At 41.0% G+C, this 16445-nt stretch overlaps 2 long non-coding RNA genes across 3 annotated transcripts in view; both read right to left on the bottom strand.

Moving 5' to 3' along the window:
- LINC01182 (long intergenic non-protein coding RNA 1182) overlaps positions 1–16445 on the bottom strand; it is a 276050-nt gene that overhangs the window by 44326 nt on the left and 215279 nt on the right. The window lies entirely within an intron of this gene.
- The window catches only part of LOC107986182 (uncharacterized), a 103624-nt gene that overhangs the window by 49596 nt on the left and 37583 nt on the right, over positions 1–16445 (bottom strand). Inside the window, exon 4 of one of the 2 annotated variants that reach the window (XR_007058056.1) lies at positions 13263–16049. The exons of the other annotated variant lie outside the window; for it this stretch is intronic. This is a non-coding gene — a long non-coding RNA (uncharacterized LOC107986182). Of the gene's footprint in view, positions 1–13262; positions 16050–16445 lie in introns of those variants that run through there. 2 annotated transcript variants of the gene reach the window in all.

Raw genomic sequence — 16445 nt, 5'->3', positions numbered from 1 at the left:
AAGTGAAATAAGTCAGTCACAAAAGGACAAACACTGTATGATTCCACTTATACCAAGTGTTTAGAGTAGTCAAGCTCATCAAGACAGAAAGTAGAATGGTCGTGACCAGGGGCTGGGGAGGAGTAGGAACATTGTTTAGTAAATACAGAGTTTCGGTTTTACAAGATGCCCTGCCTTCCATAGGTATGAATGGTGGGGGTGATGGTGGCACAATCATGTGAATGTACTTAATGTCACTGCATTGTACACTTAAAAATAGCTAAGATGGTAAATTTTATGCTATATGTGTTTTACCATGTAACATTTAATTGTACCACAATTAAAATGTTTTAAAAATCACAACTTAAGGCAACTGCTACCAAGAAGCAGATAGCTATTTTAGTAGGCACTATTTCTTCCTTCTAAGCATCCATTTCCCACTCTCTCCTTCCTAATATTACCTAGATTTTATTTAGAAGTCCATTTCCTCTCCACATTATCATATGACTCAGGAGACACTAATACCTTTACACCTCTACTGGTGAATTCTGATTAGTCTAAGCCAATCACACCATGACACTTCCCTGTCAATTTATGCATCTGAGGATAGGTTGGGCACATGAACCATGTTGGTCCAATTATACTGAAGTAACACATTTATATTTATATTCCATGGTAGAAGGAGATGGAAACACGGGTGCATATTGGCTCCATTGCTGCTGGCAGCCATATTGTGAGCAGGAGGATTACCTGCTTTAGGCTGAAGGTAATGTAGGGAACAAATCATGGAAAAACCCAAAGAATTTGGTTACAGAAACAATTCAGTGAGTGACATTGCTGAGCCACTGAAACAACCAACTCGGTGGTCCTTCTACCCCTGGGCTTACTGTTATGTCAGATAGTGCATATTCTTATATAAGCCGGTTTAAGTCTGGTTTCTGATAGTTCAGCCCACACCATCCTATGTTAAGTATTAAAGCCAAAAAAGCAATGAATAGGAGTAACTGGTCTAGCTGTAGAGCTCAGGATAAACAGCATCTGGGCTGAGGCAATAGAATGTGGAAGGGTTCTGTGGCAAAAGGAAATGGAGTTCTGTCCAGGAGTTCCAGGAAGTGAAAGAGTTCCAGCCTGGCAGAAGCCTAGAGGGAGGGGCTGCAGGTGAACTATCATACAAGATGAGGTTGAGAGACAGAGGGGAGCCAGACCCCTCCATGTAGGTCCTCTTAAGATTTTAGTCTTAATCCTAACGAGAGTCAGAAGCGATCGGTGTGTTTTATGATGTCGTGATTAAAGGACCAGATTTGCTTTTAAGTAGATGCTATAATGTGGAGAAGTGATGGGAGAAAGGACAAGGTGGGGGCAAAGAAACAAATATTGCAGTTCAAAGATGGCAGTGTCTTAGGCTAGGGTCGAGGCTGTGAAGCTGGAGGAAAGAGACAGGTTTGGGAGCTTTCTGAAAGGCAGGTTCAATGACTCTTGGTGCTGAATCAAATATATGTTGTGGAACAAAGGGGTGTGAGGCAGAGGGAGGTATCAGGGATGACTTCTAAGTATCTGGGTATAACAGGATGAATGAGGAGCCTTTTAGTACAAAAGAAAGAGTTTGAACTTCAAAGACAGAAGTAATCCTAACTTAAAATTGATTTAAGTAGCACTCTTAATTATAATTAATAGATATAGTAACCATTTGCTAAGCATTTAATATAGGACAGAATCTATATAATGCACTGTACTTTATCATAATCCTCATAGCCGACTTTGTTTTCTCAGGAAGGCCCAACAACATCTCTCATCTCACATGCTCTCCTGCAATGTGACCATGCCCTAGTCACATCAAGAAGTAGTGTCTACATCCCAGCTCTTAAATCTGGGAAGGCTGGTGACTGTTTCTATCAATAGAATATGCCAGTTTCATCTATAAAATGGAGATTACAAATAAGAAAGAAAAATAAAATTAAAATGGAAAAATAGAATATGGCTGGGAACAGCAGCTCACACCTATAATCCCAGCATTTTGGGAGGCCAAGGTGGGAGGATCACTTGAGGCCAGAAGTTCAAGACCAGCCTAGGAAACATAATGAGACCTTCATCTCTACTTTTGAATGGTATATTTTGCTTTTCTATCTTCCCTCTATCTCTTGGACTCCTTTCTATCTCTTGGACTCCTTTCCATATAAGTTTATCTCTTACATTTTTTGTCTTTATTATGAATGTAATATGTAGTCATGGTTAAAAATTAAAACTAAAGTCCTAAGGTGATTTCTCAGCTGTACTCCCCAGAAGTAATCCCTGTTAAAAGCTTGTGTGTCTTTTTATTATGTATGTGTGTTTCTTTTAGTATAGATATGTACTATGGTTTATTTAGTCACTTTTCTATTGATGTCACTAGTATCTGCCTTCTAAAAAAAAAATTAGCCAGGTGTGGTGGTGCATGTCTGTGTTCCCAGCTACTCAGGAGGCTGAGAAGGGAGGATCATGCAGCCCAGTTTGAGACTGCAGTGAGCTAGGATCACTTCACTGCACTCTAGCATGGACCAGAGTGTGACCCCACCTCCAAAAAAAAATTGAAACTGGCTGTTTTTGACTTTTTTTAAGTTTTTGTTTTGTTTTGTCTTTTAAAGAATATGTTAGAACTGTTGCTATTTGATTTCTGAGGTTAAGTCATAAAAAGCCATATAGCTTCTGATAAGTTTTTATGGAACTCTTATTCTGGGAAAAGCTAGACCATGTAAGTGGTCCAACTAAGGCAGGACAGTAAGGTCTGGAGGCAGGAAACCTAAGGCCAATTCATGCTGACTTCCTAGAACTAAATCAAAAGGAAAATCCCAACTTTTCATGCACAAGTAACTAAACCACCAGAGGCTACTCCCTTTGCAACTCACTGCCACCGCACTTTTTCTGCCTGGCTGATGAAAAATTGAAAGTACCTCTGATCGGTCCCCTCCTGCAACGAATCAGACTGATTGCAGGCCAAGTCTTCATTCGCAGAGGAGTATAACTTTGTAACTTTACTTCAGCCTCTGATTGGTCACTTTCAGCAGCCAATCAGACGTTTGCATAGGGAATAACTTTGTAACTTCACTTCAGCCTCTGATGGATGGCTTTCCATAACCAATCAGACTGATCACAGGCCACTACTTCGTTTACATAGGGTGTAGACCAAGTAACCAATGGGAAACTTCTAGAGGGTATTTAAATACCAAAAAAGTCTGTAACCAGGGCTCTTGAGCCACTTGCTCAAGCCTGCTCCCACTCTCTGTAGTGTTCTTTCATTTCAGTAAATCTACGCTTTTTTTCATTGCTTTGTTTGTGCATTTTGTCCAATTCTTTGTTCAAAATGCCAAGAACCTGGACACCCTCCACCGGTAACACAACTACTCTGAGACCACCAAGCTGGGGTGGCCACACGGAGGCATTCTGGTTGTCAGACTCCACTGAACTCCCTGCCAACAGTCAGCATCAACTCACCAGCTAGGTTGATCAAGTCACCTTGGAAATGCATCCTCCAGCTCCAATCTCATGACTATTTCTGTTGCCATGAGAAGCAGAAACAAGCCATGTCCATTGAGCCCTGCCCAAAAGAAAATAATTGTGTACAAAATAACTGATCGTTGTTGATCTTTTATGGCACTAAGTTTGAGGGGTGGCCAGTTACACTCCCCTGCCATTGTATAGGTAAAACAAAATAAATAAATAAGACTTGCTCAGGATCACAGAACCAGTAAGCACAGGAGCCAGAATTCTAGCTAATCTGTTTGATCCAGAGTCTGTGCTATTTCTTCAATCTCATTGCTGCCATCTTTTTGGTCACATCTCAAAATTAAATTGCTATTTCTATTCAAAACATCTTCAAACCCTAATCTCAAGCACATGCATTTTGAAAGTAATCTATTCAGCTTAAAAACAGCAACCCACTAGTAGAAATAAGACATGGACAATTGCAAGTGCTTAAAAAAGGGTTTTGGTGGGTTTTTTTTTTTTTTTCTGTCCCCTATTATTTTTTCCCAAGCAGTAAGGAATTGATAGAAAATTAAAACAGACAACTTCCATTTTCTTTCAAGGGAGATTTATGACCACTGTCTACAGAATTTCTAACCGTAAAGTGAATTGCAAAACAAAATGTTTTAAAATAATATATTTAAAGCAACACAGTGTTATGTACAATTAATGTAAGAATAATCAGAAGTGATAGTTGCTGAGTAAAAGTAAATCCAGAGAAATATGAGCTATAGGGGTAATAGCATTTCATGAAACACTAATCTGTCAGTGAAGAGAACAAATCAAGGGAATAATCAGGCATATTAATGACTCCAGAGTAACTTTCTCTTACTCATCAGACGTCTCCAAGTGGAACTCTATCTCTTTGCCACTGCCTTCTTCCAGGCCCTTAGGACTCCGTCCAATGTCCCTGCAGCCTCTCTGAGCTGGTCCTCGTACCCCCAGCCTCACCACCACAACATTACACCAACATCCCATAGCCCATCTTACCTTCTCCCCTTTTCCAGGGCCACTCCCTCTGCCTAGAATGCCCACTGACTGCCCCTGACCAGGATAAAGCTTGCTCTTGCTAAACATTTCCATCCACATGCCATCTCCTTGAAGCTGCCTCTCCTGGAGTGTTTTCCAACCAGAGATGGGGTACTTCTCTTCTGAGTTCCTACAAAACAGCAAACTTAGCTCTGCAGTAGCTCTTCAGTCTACTTGCCAACGTACATTTACTTAGTGACACTGTGTAAGCACACTATTCCAGGCGCGGGGGAGACAAAAGAGAACAAGATAGACAACCCCTGCTTCAAGACTCAGGCCTAAAATCAGTGCCTCTCAAACAGTGTAATTCTTCCCCCCAGGGAACATTTGTCGAAGTCTGGAAACATATTTTATTGTTATGCCTGGGAGGAGTGCTGCTGGCATCTAGTGGGTAGAGCCCAAAGATGCTGTGAAACTTTCTACAACTCACAGGACAGCCCCAACCACAAAGAATTGTCTGGTCCAAAATGTCAACAGTGCCAAGGTGGAGAAGGCCTACTGTAAATAAGCAAATAAATACATAGGATCATTTCAGGGAGTGTTACAAGCCATGAAGAAAATAAATAGGAGAATGTGTTAGAACACTGGAGTGAGAGAGGAGGGAGACTCTCTAAGAGAGGCAGTGAGTAGAGGTTGGAGAGGATGACACCCTCACACAACCAGTATGATTCTACTGTCTGTAATAGGTCCACCACTTCACCTGTTGTTACTCACAATAACACCTTGTGATACCGAACACCCACCAAGTGCTAAGGACTGGCCCAGAGACTCATTCTGTTTGCCACAGTATTTAATCTACCTCTTGCTGCAAATTTCTTGTTTCCCCAGATTGAAGTTAACTTGATAACATGAATTCGTTTGTATTTCTTATAAAATGCCCAGAACAGCCATGCACATGAATGAATGAATGAATGAATGAATAAGAATGATTTTTCCAGAGCATGCATGAGAGATCCAAGAGCTGAGCACTTCATCCTATGGTGATTTCGTAGAGTATATTAGTTTCCTGGGGCTACTGTGACAAAATACACAAACTGAATGGCTTAAAACAACAGAAGTTATTCTCTCCCAGTTCTGGAGAGTAAAAGTCCAAAATCAAGATGTCAGCAAGGTCATGCTCCTTTGTAAACTCGGATAGAATCCTGCCTTGCCTCTTCCAGCTTCTGACTGGGGCCAGCAAGCCTTGGTGCTCCCTGGCTTGCAGCTGCATCACCCCAATCTCTGCCTCTGTTATCACCCAGAATCCTCCCTGTGTGTCTCTGTCTCTTCTTTTTAAAAGGACACCAGCCATATTAGATTGGGGCCCACCCTAATGATCTTTCTTAACCCAATTATGTCTGCAAAGACCCTATTTCCAAGTAAGGTCACATTCACAGATAACAAGGGTTAGGACTTCAGTGTATCTTTTTTGAGGATGCAATTCAGCCTATACAAAGCAGAAGGGTCTGGATGGACCACCTCTAAGCCTCAAGCATTTCAGCTGCAAATGAAAACCACACTAGCCAAGGCCCACCCAATAAAAGTGCCTGTAAAGCACTTAATACAATTGGAGCCAGCTGCAGTGAAGAAGCAGTAGGATGAGCTTTGGAGTCCTGTGGTACTAACACTCCAACTGACTGGGCCAAGTAGAGGCCACAATTCCCTTGCCATTCTTCTCTCTGCTCTGGTTCCTTATTTGGAAAATCTAAAAATGGCAATAAATCCTTGCATTTTCCCAGGGCCTAGCAGCAACCAAGCAACTTTTCACATATTATCAAAAATGATCCATCCATTCACCAGTGAGGAGGCAAGACCAGGATTAATGCCCCATCTCACAAAGGCTCAGCTTCCTCATCTGTCAGGTGTTCATCATAACACTCAACCTTACCTGCTAGGCTAGGATCCCATGAAGTAATATATGAAAAGTATCTGACACATAGTGGGAACTCAATACACCTTTTGTAAATAGATCAGTAAACTGCCTGGCATGAATGTAACTTAAATTTCCTCCTTGTAAACTCACAGTTTCCTCTAATTTTTAGATTACTCAAGTCCCCATCCTGCATTCTGCAGGGAAGAAAGACCCCTCCTGAATATGTCTGGACTGTATTGGGTGATATGGAATTTCTCGTGTGTGTAGACTCCTGATGGTAGCCTCTCACCTCGTATTCCAAACGCCTCCTCTCTGGTTCCTATCTGGGAATCTCATTTATGCCCCTTCTGCCTAATTCCTGTCCTGTCGCTGTATGTCTTTACCCCAAGCATGGACAGAGCCCTCTCCCCTTCATTCCTCAAAGCACTCAAACACAACGCTTTTATGTGAGACAGATTTTCCTGAAAGCTTAGGAACCAGAAAAAAAAAATTACAGCATAAGATAGAAAAGAAACTCAGTCTCAGACATTGCTGCTTCTGTGGTTCATCAGTCAAGCCCTCCCAAGCCATCTCTCTCCTGGACACGCACCTGCTGTTATGTTGCTGGGATCTGCATTCTGTCAACAGATTCTCACACCACTGGCCCCAAACCCCAATAATCAGGTTCCAACCATTATCCTCACCCAGCTCACTGGCACCTATTCTCCAAGTTTCTAAGATCCCCAGGAAGAACCTAAAAGATTGTATTATTTATTACAAAGGACAATTTTAGATCCCCTAAAATTAATTAATCTCTTCATTCATTCCGAAGTAGGCCCAGAGGCCTTACCTTTTATGATCAAAGGCCCATTGAATAATAAAAAGCATGATTTCTGTCACTGCCCTCTTTGACCCTCAGGATGCAGAAATTACTGCAGCCTGATTCTACATAGGAATTCTCACTTCACACCACAAAGGGTAGGTCCTTCATACCTATCAGTTTCTCAGTGCCATTTGGGAAGTGAAGGCTAGGGAAGTTAGTTGACTAGCCAAAGAGCTGTTTAATTGAATAAACATAAAGCATCAACCTACCAGGAGCAAAGCTCAGGTCAGTAGCTTACCTGACTCAAAACTCCTGTGTGAATACTCGCCACCACTCCAGCTGTGTATATGTGGAAATGCCTAAAGGACACTTTCCTCCTCAAGTCAACTAAGTACTCTCAGCTCTGCTGTGCCAAGCACGTGTCTCTTCCTGGTCTTCAGATGTCCGTTCAGAAGACAAATTCTCACTTTAGTCTCCCACCTTGAGCCTTATTCTGCTTTGGGTCTTCTTTGAACAAACCTCACCACTCATCACTGCATACTATATTCACTAGAGTTCTCGGATGCCAGCAACCAAAACAGACACTGGCCACTTTACACAGAAAAGGAATGTACTGATGGATATTAACAGTGAATCGAATTTTAGAGAGGACTGGAGAGCCAGGGTTGGAGTGGCACGGCCAAGAGCTGTGCCCCCAATCAAAAAAGTAGACTCTTGAAAAAGTCGGAGGTTACTTGATCAAATAAAATGATGGGTGGAACCAATGGGGAAGGGAACAATACTGAAAGCCTGAGGACAGGTGTGATGGTCCAAGCAAGAGATGATGAGGGTCTGAACTCATGGCAATATCTGCAGACTAATAAGATGTTGGTGAGAGAGCAGAGACATTCTAAGACCACTTCTAATGGCTAGTTGGGTAATGGGATGCACAATAGTGCCACTGACTCCAATAGGGAACGCAGGTGGAGAAGCAGGGATGGGAATGAATGGCAAGGGGAGAGGATGAGAGCTGCCTGGGACATGCAGAGGCGTAAATAACTCTGTGTGTCCATCAGCAAGTGGACCTCGGTAAAGGGGAGATGCTGGGAAGAAAACACAGGAGTTTAAGAACTTGACTGTAGAGAATGAAAATTGTTCAAGACCAAAACTGGGATGACCAACTCTTTCCAGTTTGCTTGGGATTTTCCTGGTTTTAGAGCTAAAAGTCCCACATCACAGAAAACCTGTCAGTCTGAGGCAAGTCAGAACCCACTGTGTAGGGAATAAGAAATAACGTGAAAGGAAGAAGATTTGCCCAGGGTGATTGAGCTTGTTGGTTTCAAAACCATAGCTGAAACTCAGGCTTTCTACCTCCTAGGCCATTGCACTTTCTTCACACTCTCTCTGCCAGTCAAGAGCTAAATTGAATGAATAGACTAGAAAGGTAAAGTATTAGGATTCAAATCCCAGATTCCTGACCCACCAGGTATATGACCTCAAGCAAACTAGTTACTACCTCTGAGCCTTACTTTTCTTATCTAAAAACCCAGAAGTAATATAGGTACACTCCCTAATCCCAGGATGAAATGTAGGATCAAATAAAAACATAGAGGCAGTGAAAGATGGAGATTCTGCCAGCATGCTGACGAGAGGGAAAGAGCTGCAAAAAAATGAGCCTCTCCGCTGATTTTGAAATAAACCCCAAGAGTGCTGGGTCTCCCACAGCCCAGCCCTCACACTGGTTTAAAAAGTTTAACCCTCACTGAAGTGTCCTCACAACTCCTTTGAAAAATATAGTTTCGCTACTAAAACTGTCTGGAGTAAAATATATTTCCTCCAGAAAATGCTGGTGAATTTATCACAACTGGGCTGTTCATCTGCTCAAAAGCAGAATGGCATTTATTGCCAATTGCTCGCTTTATGGATGAAAAGAAACAGGGAGCCTAATAAGTTTGGTTAATTTTTTTCTTTTATGGCTCCAGCAACTGCACTAAATATTCCGTCTGCTTTTCTTATGTAGTTTGGAGACTGCTCGAAGCTTCAGAACTGTTGCTAGGAAGGTTCCAGCAGAATCATGTGCTACTGCTTCAGAGGAGACCCTGGTAGAGAGGGGTTCTGAGAACTGCCCCCAAGAGTCATCCCTGCTGGGGGTCTGCATAATCTCTGATCAGTTCTACAAAATTGAGAAAATAACTTTTAAAAAATCACTAGGCTGGAATGTAGTTATCTAAATTTACATTTATTACAATTGTATAAGATTAAAAATTCGGTTTTTCAGTCTTACCCCAGTCACCCTTCAAATGCTCATTAGCCACACATGGCTAGTGACTACTACATTGGACAGTGTAGATCAGAATATTCACATTGTCTCAGGAAGTTCTTTTGGACAGCATTGACCTGGAAGGTCGCTTAAATGTTAGAGCTGGGATTAAATGTTAGGCCTTCAATGTTCTTTGTACATTATCGTGCTCCAGAGATGCTCCATGATCAGTAGATGTGCGCATTATCTGTAATGATTTGGCTGAAATGATTTTGACTTCTGTTGGGATTTCACTGTGCTTTAAAGACACAGAAAGAAGCAGAATGGCGTTCTAAAGGGAAGAGTTGTGGACTTTTACCCAGGTCTGAGCCCTGACACTCATTAACCATGTGAATTTGGTTAACATCTGGGGCCAGCCAGAAGGCCTATTTCAAGTGCTCACCCCCGACTATCCCGCAACACTCACACATCCACCCTGATGTTCCCGCTCGTTTCATTCATCAACTATTTAAGGAGTTCAAGAGCATCTGCTATAGATCACACACTGCTTTCTCTGGAGCATGATAATGTACAAAGAACATTGAAGGCCTAACATTTAATCCCAGTTCTAAAATTTAAGTGACCTTCCAGGTCAATGCTGTCCAAAAGAACTTCCTGAGACAATGTGAGTATTCTGATCTGCACTGTCCAATGTAATAGTCACTAGCCATGTGTGGCTAATGAGTATTAACCATGTGTGGCTAATGAGTATTTGAAGTGTGACTGGGGTAAGACTGAAGAACTGAATTTTTAATTTTATATAGTTGTAATAAATGTAAATTTAGATAACTACATTCAAGCCTGGGCAACATAGCAAGACCCCATCTCTGCAAAAAAAAAAAAAAAATTAATAGCTGGGTGTGATGTCACACATCTGTAGTCCCAGCTACCCGGGAGGCTGAGGCAGAAGGATTGCAAGAATTCTGCTCATGGATCCATCTTCATTTGGCCCTAGAACCAGTGCTTCAAGTTCTGATATTAACTGGGGGTGTCAGGCAGCATAAGGATTCTGATCAGCATTTGTCCTGAGGCCACAGGAAAGCAATCCATCTTTTAGAGAACTTTTCCATTGGTGACCAAGAATGTTCTGCATGAGGAAACCTATTAACCGCTTCATGTGAGAGAATATTTACAGGAAGTTAGAAAATGCTGACTTTAGCTAAGGAAAATGCCTCTCTGTGGAGCTTTATGGCCGATTAATGCCCTGGAATTTCATTGAGGGGATTTATAGATAGAGGTTACTAACTAGCTACACAGTGTATTTTTAAGTATGTTCTTACAAACCAGAGGTGCTGTTTAAGGTGAGGCATGGGGTCTCTAAGGGACGAAAGAGAGCTCTTTAAATAGAATTTCATAGAAAAACAAAACTATAATGCTCCAAGGTTGTCAGCCACAGGCAGTATTTCACAAAGTCTAAGACTCTCAACTTCAGAAGCACCTTAAAGGTCATAGCATCCCAGCTCCTTCTAATGCCTGAATTCTCCTGACACATTGATTTCAGCTTGAACAACTCCTATGGGGGATCTCCCGGCATCCTGAGGCAGCTCATTCATTTCACATTGGATGTGTGATATTGTTAGAAAGAGTTTTCAATGGTGAGCAAAAATCTAGGGAAAGAATATGGTATCTTAGAAGTATTTTGGGCTCTGCCTTTTTCAGCTCTGTGAGACATAAAATAGAGAGATAATAAAACAGTAGTGTAGGGTTGTTGGGAAGACTAAGCCAGATAGAGAGGCAATGTGGTCTGTTCCATACCATTTCCTTCCACTGGCTCTCCATCTTCAGCTCTGGGAGTGAACTCATGATTAACTTTTCATAATGTCTCCCTATCGTGGTAATAGCAGTAGTTGTAGTGGTGGAAATAGTCATACAACTACTGTTATAACATTATTTTTATTAATATTATTATTCCTAACACCTCTTCCACAGACTTGTAAATATGTGACCATGGGCCACATTGCTTCACCAGGCTCAGTAACCTTAGTTCTTTTCACAACTCTCATCTGTTAGATTTCAGGTGTCTTATGGTCTTAATGATTCAACAGGAATCTCTCAATGTGCCAGTGAGTGGCTGGCCCTGATAACAGCAATGTGAATGACACCTAGAACTTGCCCATTATTCCAGCCTTACTTCCCTGATGGTATAATGATGTTGATGGTGGTGGTGGTGACTGCAATGATAATGATGTTGATGGTGGTGGTGGTGACTGCAAATTATTGATTTTCGAGGGTGACCATGAGTCAGTCACTGTGTTAACTGCTTAGCATAGATAATTGCTTTTAATATTCATAACAATATTGTGAGGTGCGTATTGTTATTATAATCTACATTTGACAGATAAGAAAACTGAGCCAGACAAATTAAGTAACTTATCTCAAAAACATATGCGGAAGCTGAAAACAATCTGGGCAAACCCATCCCAGACTGTGCTCTTTCCCACTGCATAGTAAAGGTATTAAGAGTGCAAGTTCTGAAGCCAGCCAGGAGTTGCTCCCATCCCAAAGGCAGAGAGAAAGGCAAGAGATTATCACATAGTAACAGCACCAGGGACAGCAAAGGGACCTTGACCTGAAAGTGAAGAAAGAGAGGAGCAGATGGATGGATAATTTTGGAAGATAAGATTTATAAGATTTGGTGTTTGATTGGATGTGAGATGACGGAACCTTTTCCTAAGGGAGAGAATGGGGGAAGGATAGCAAGGCCAGTGTCCATCAGGGATGACAATAAGGTCCCTGCAAATTTGTAAAATGCTGGAAAATCAAGCCATTGGACAAGAAAACGCAAATGCTTTTAAAAAGAAAAAAGTCAGTTTAAAAAAAAATAAATTTGACCATTGGGATTATCAGAATGAATAAAATTCTTCCCAGAGACCTGGTTCTTGGGCTCCAACATGTTTAGCCAGTTTTCACCCGACCCCTCTCCCTCTGCCCTTTAAACATGCCTATCTCCCAGATAAAGCTGAAACCTCTTCTAGTGGTCCAGAGGATTCTTTTTCCAACTCTTAAGTCTGGTCCAGTTTCCCGCTAAGTTCTACTTCGGGTCCTACATTCAATTTTGGTTTACTGAAACCATGGGTAAACATCAGTGTCTGCATTTCATGTGCAAGTATGTTTCAAATTTCTTTTTTTTTTTTTTTGAATCGGAGCTTCACTCTGTCGCCCAGGCTGGAGTGCAGTGGTGGCGCCATCTTGGCTCACTGCAAGCTCCGCCTCCCAGGTTCACACCATTCTCCTGCCTCAGCCTCCCGAGTAGCTGGGACTACAGGTGCCCACGACCACGCCTGGCTAATTTTTTGTACTTTTAGTAGAGGCAGGGTTTCACCGTGTTAGCCAGGATGGTCTCGATCTCCTGACCTCGTGATCCTCCCGCCTTGGCCTCCCAAAGTGCTAGGATTACAGGCATGAGCCACCTCACCCAGCCTCAAATTTCTTAACCAACAATTTACTGACCAGCTGCTAGGAACCAGGCACTGCTCTAGCACCTTACATTTATTACCTAATTTACTATTTGCCTTTACTCTTTGCCTGTGAAATGAGTGCTGTGATCATTCCCATTTTACATATGGTGAAACAAAGATCAAGGAATTTGCCAAGACACAAATAGTTAAGCCAAGATTTGAATGCTCACAACTTGATTATGCCAGAGCCTGTAATTCAAAGCAATTAGTGTATTTCTAGTTCATTCAATAATTATTTATTGAGTCCCTAGAGTGTACCTTTTAACCTGTGAGGTACTATTTCTTCTAGTTTAAGGCAAAGTATCAAAGCATCATAGAAAATCAAAATTTGGGTCAACTAATCAAGCTCCCAAATTATATAAAAAATTTAATGCAGAAAGAAGGACAGAAACTTATCTAAAGTCAGTCAGTCATGATAAAGCCTGAATTCAACCTTGATCTCTCATTTCACCACTCTTTCAATATGATGCAGTACATTAAAAATACTTTGACAAAGATCTGCTCTACAAATTTATAATACGGTTATTATTGTTACTGCCATTCCTATCCCACGAGGCAACATGTTTTTCACACAGTAGATAGCTAACAGATATGTTTAGGCTATAAAAAGTCGACCTAGGAATGTTATTTAAAACTTGAGGTCTTAGATAAGAAAGGCCTTTTTGGAAATATATACGAAAGGTGTTTTTTTCAGGGCCAACATTCCACTAGTACTTCAACTCATTAATTGTATTTTGTGGTTAAGGTCAACCCAATACCTTTGCCTGTAAAGTTATAACAGATTGAAAACAGGTGACCTGCTTTCCGGACTCTCTTTCAGTAGTGAAGCACTTGGAGAAAATTGCAGTGGATTAGCTCCTCAGGTCCAGGCTAATGAGGGCCTGAACTGCCTAGGAAGCTGCACCATGGTATTGGGCAGATGTGTTATGGGAGTTCACGGCTCAGACTAAAGAAGTCAGACAAGGAAATAAAACTACCACTTTATCAAGCAGGAAACTAAGGCTCCCCAGGACTTATGAGCATAGTGACTGAACTAAGAATTGAAGGAAGTACAAGCCAAACTCACATCTTTCAACTGTAAAATTCTAGAGTATTAATCCAATAACTTCATCCTAAAAATATCCTTTCTCCATATTCCATTATGGAGAGATAATAATCAATAGTGATTTCAAAGTTATATCTATGGAGCAACTGCCTTTTGTCCAGAATTGAACTGGATGTCTTGAGATTTCCTAGGAAGTGCTTGATATGTAAAGAATGTCTAGACCACCAATTAGCATAAGAAATGTGATGAGCAAAAATCCAAAGATCCTTTTAATTCTTGCATAGTTCTGATAGATCCTAAAGTTATACAGCAGAGTAGTTAAGAGCATGGACTCAGATGCTAGATTTTTGGGGGTTCAAATCCTGTCTCTGACACTTATTAGGTTGACCTTGGCAAGTTACTTAATCTCTCTGATGCTCAGTTCCCTCCATCCCTGAAAAATGGCATAATATCAGTACCTGTCTCCAAGGGGTGCTGCAAAGATTAAATCAGCATATGTAAAGTCCTAAGTCCAACTCAGGATCAGGCATGTAGTAATAATTTTATGAGTGAGTGCTCATTGTGTCTCCAGAGATTGGAAAACTAAAGCTGACAAAGTGTCAGTGAGCCTAGAGGCAGTGCAGACAGCAATGATAGTGTGAGTCAGAAACTGAAGACCTGCTGCTGTAATGATACACCAGATGTGATACTCTTTTCCTTGACTCTTTCAGGATTGCAAAAACAATTCTCAAGCTATCCTTCTTGTACTGGAAATGGGCAATTCTACTTAAGCTGCCTGCTGTAGGTAGTTGTTTGGAAGTAATAATCTGTTTTTAATCTTGTGTATAAATGAATACCGAGGTTAGTCAGTGGATGCATATTAATCCAAAATAAATGAATACATTTGAATTAATCAGATCTTGAGTTTTATAATGATATTAGCACAAATTGCAACAATAAATCTTTTAAAAATTAGATCCAATGCTGCTTAAGGCTATAATAGAAAGTATATTCAAATATTTGAATAGAAAGTATATTCAAATCTGGAGATTTGAATATACTTTGAGACAACTTTAAAATGTAGATTGGTCTGGCTGTAGCTTGGGGGCAGAAGCAGGGGACAGGGCTGCAAGAGGACACTGTTGAACCACATTCTATGAAAGGGTGATAGCAACAGGGCCCGCAAAGTCATAAAAACAAGAAAGAGCAAGAGAAAATCAATGAAACAGGTGCATTCCACAATTCATAGTTCATTTTCTGGCTTGAGACAGAGGACCTTGGGACTTCAATTCAGTGCAATGCAACAAGCAAGAATTAAATTAAGGCAGCATGATGAAGAGGAGGGATTTCGGCTGGTTCTTCTACTTACTTATTGTTGATCTTTGGACAAAATAACTTTGCTAAAGCTATTGATCTCATCTGAAAAATAGGCTTTATCATCCCAACTTGGAAATAGTGGTATGAGAACCCAATAACGTTCATTGTAAAGTGAACGTCTTGTTTCATAAAGATCAGGGTAGTAATTAAAAGAATAGAGTCAGACTGCCTGGATTCAAATCCTAGCATTGCCATCTGCTAGCTATGAGACTTTGGGCAAATTTCTTAGCCTCTCTTGAGCCTTAGTTTTCTCACTTATAAAAAGGGGAGATAAATTGAGGATTGGTGTGAGAATTAATTGCAAACATGCAGTTCTAGTAACAGGGAAATACTTAACAAATGTTAGCTATTAGTCTAAACGATGGTTATTGATGTTATCTTGTTTCATGTGTGGTGATTCTTGCTTAAGAAGGAAGACAGGAAAGATGGAAGAACTATGGAGAATATACCAATGCAGAAGAGAATATGTCACCAGAGTATCAAGAAGAGGAGGAAGAGAATATCTCTGCAGGGAGGCAAATATACGACACCCAGAGCCCCAACCTCTCCTTCCCCCATGCAAGGAAGACACTGCTAACTACACAAGCCTCTCCCCTACTAACCCAAGACTTAACCTTGAATATTTTTTTCTTATGTGGAAGGTTAGAAAACTGTACTGAGGATTACCTGAAGGCAAGAAACTGAGCATTACTTGTCAAAGAGAAGAATGAAGGGCCAGGAGAACTCTAAGCTCCCTCTCATGAGAATGGGTCCTGTGTAAAAAAAAAAAAAAAATTATGTTCTGTGATAAGCCTAAAGATGGAGAAAACTTGCCCTGATGTCCAAAGCTGTGATTCCTACCTGTAATTGTTTAGAAATTAAAGTATCAATGCCCTGAGATCCAATCAGAATATTTGAACCATCTGGCAGATGACATAGTTTTGGAGCCTTAAGAAGAAAATCCCAAGATGGTTGTAGAACACTGTTTTTTAACTATAATGGATGGAAAAGGAGACTGGACAAAATATGAACTCTGTCAGTAAATCATTAACTACAAGTTTGCGACCCAGAAGTAAATATATGGGTAGATGTTATAGAAGGAGGTGCTGAGGCCATTCTCTTAAGGATTTGGGATGAAGATGGGGTAACCCCACTTTGTTATGGACTTA

The sequence above is a fragment of the Homo sapiens genome, chromosome 4, assembly GCF_000001405.40.
Source record: "Homo sapiens chromosome 4, GRCh38.p14 Primary Assembly".
NCBI lineage: Eukaryota > Metazoa > Chordata > Mammalia > Primates > Hominidae > Homo > Homo sapiens.
This window is presented reverse-complemented; position numbering and strand designations above follow the sequence as displayed.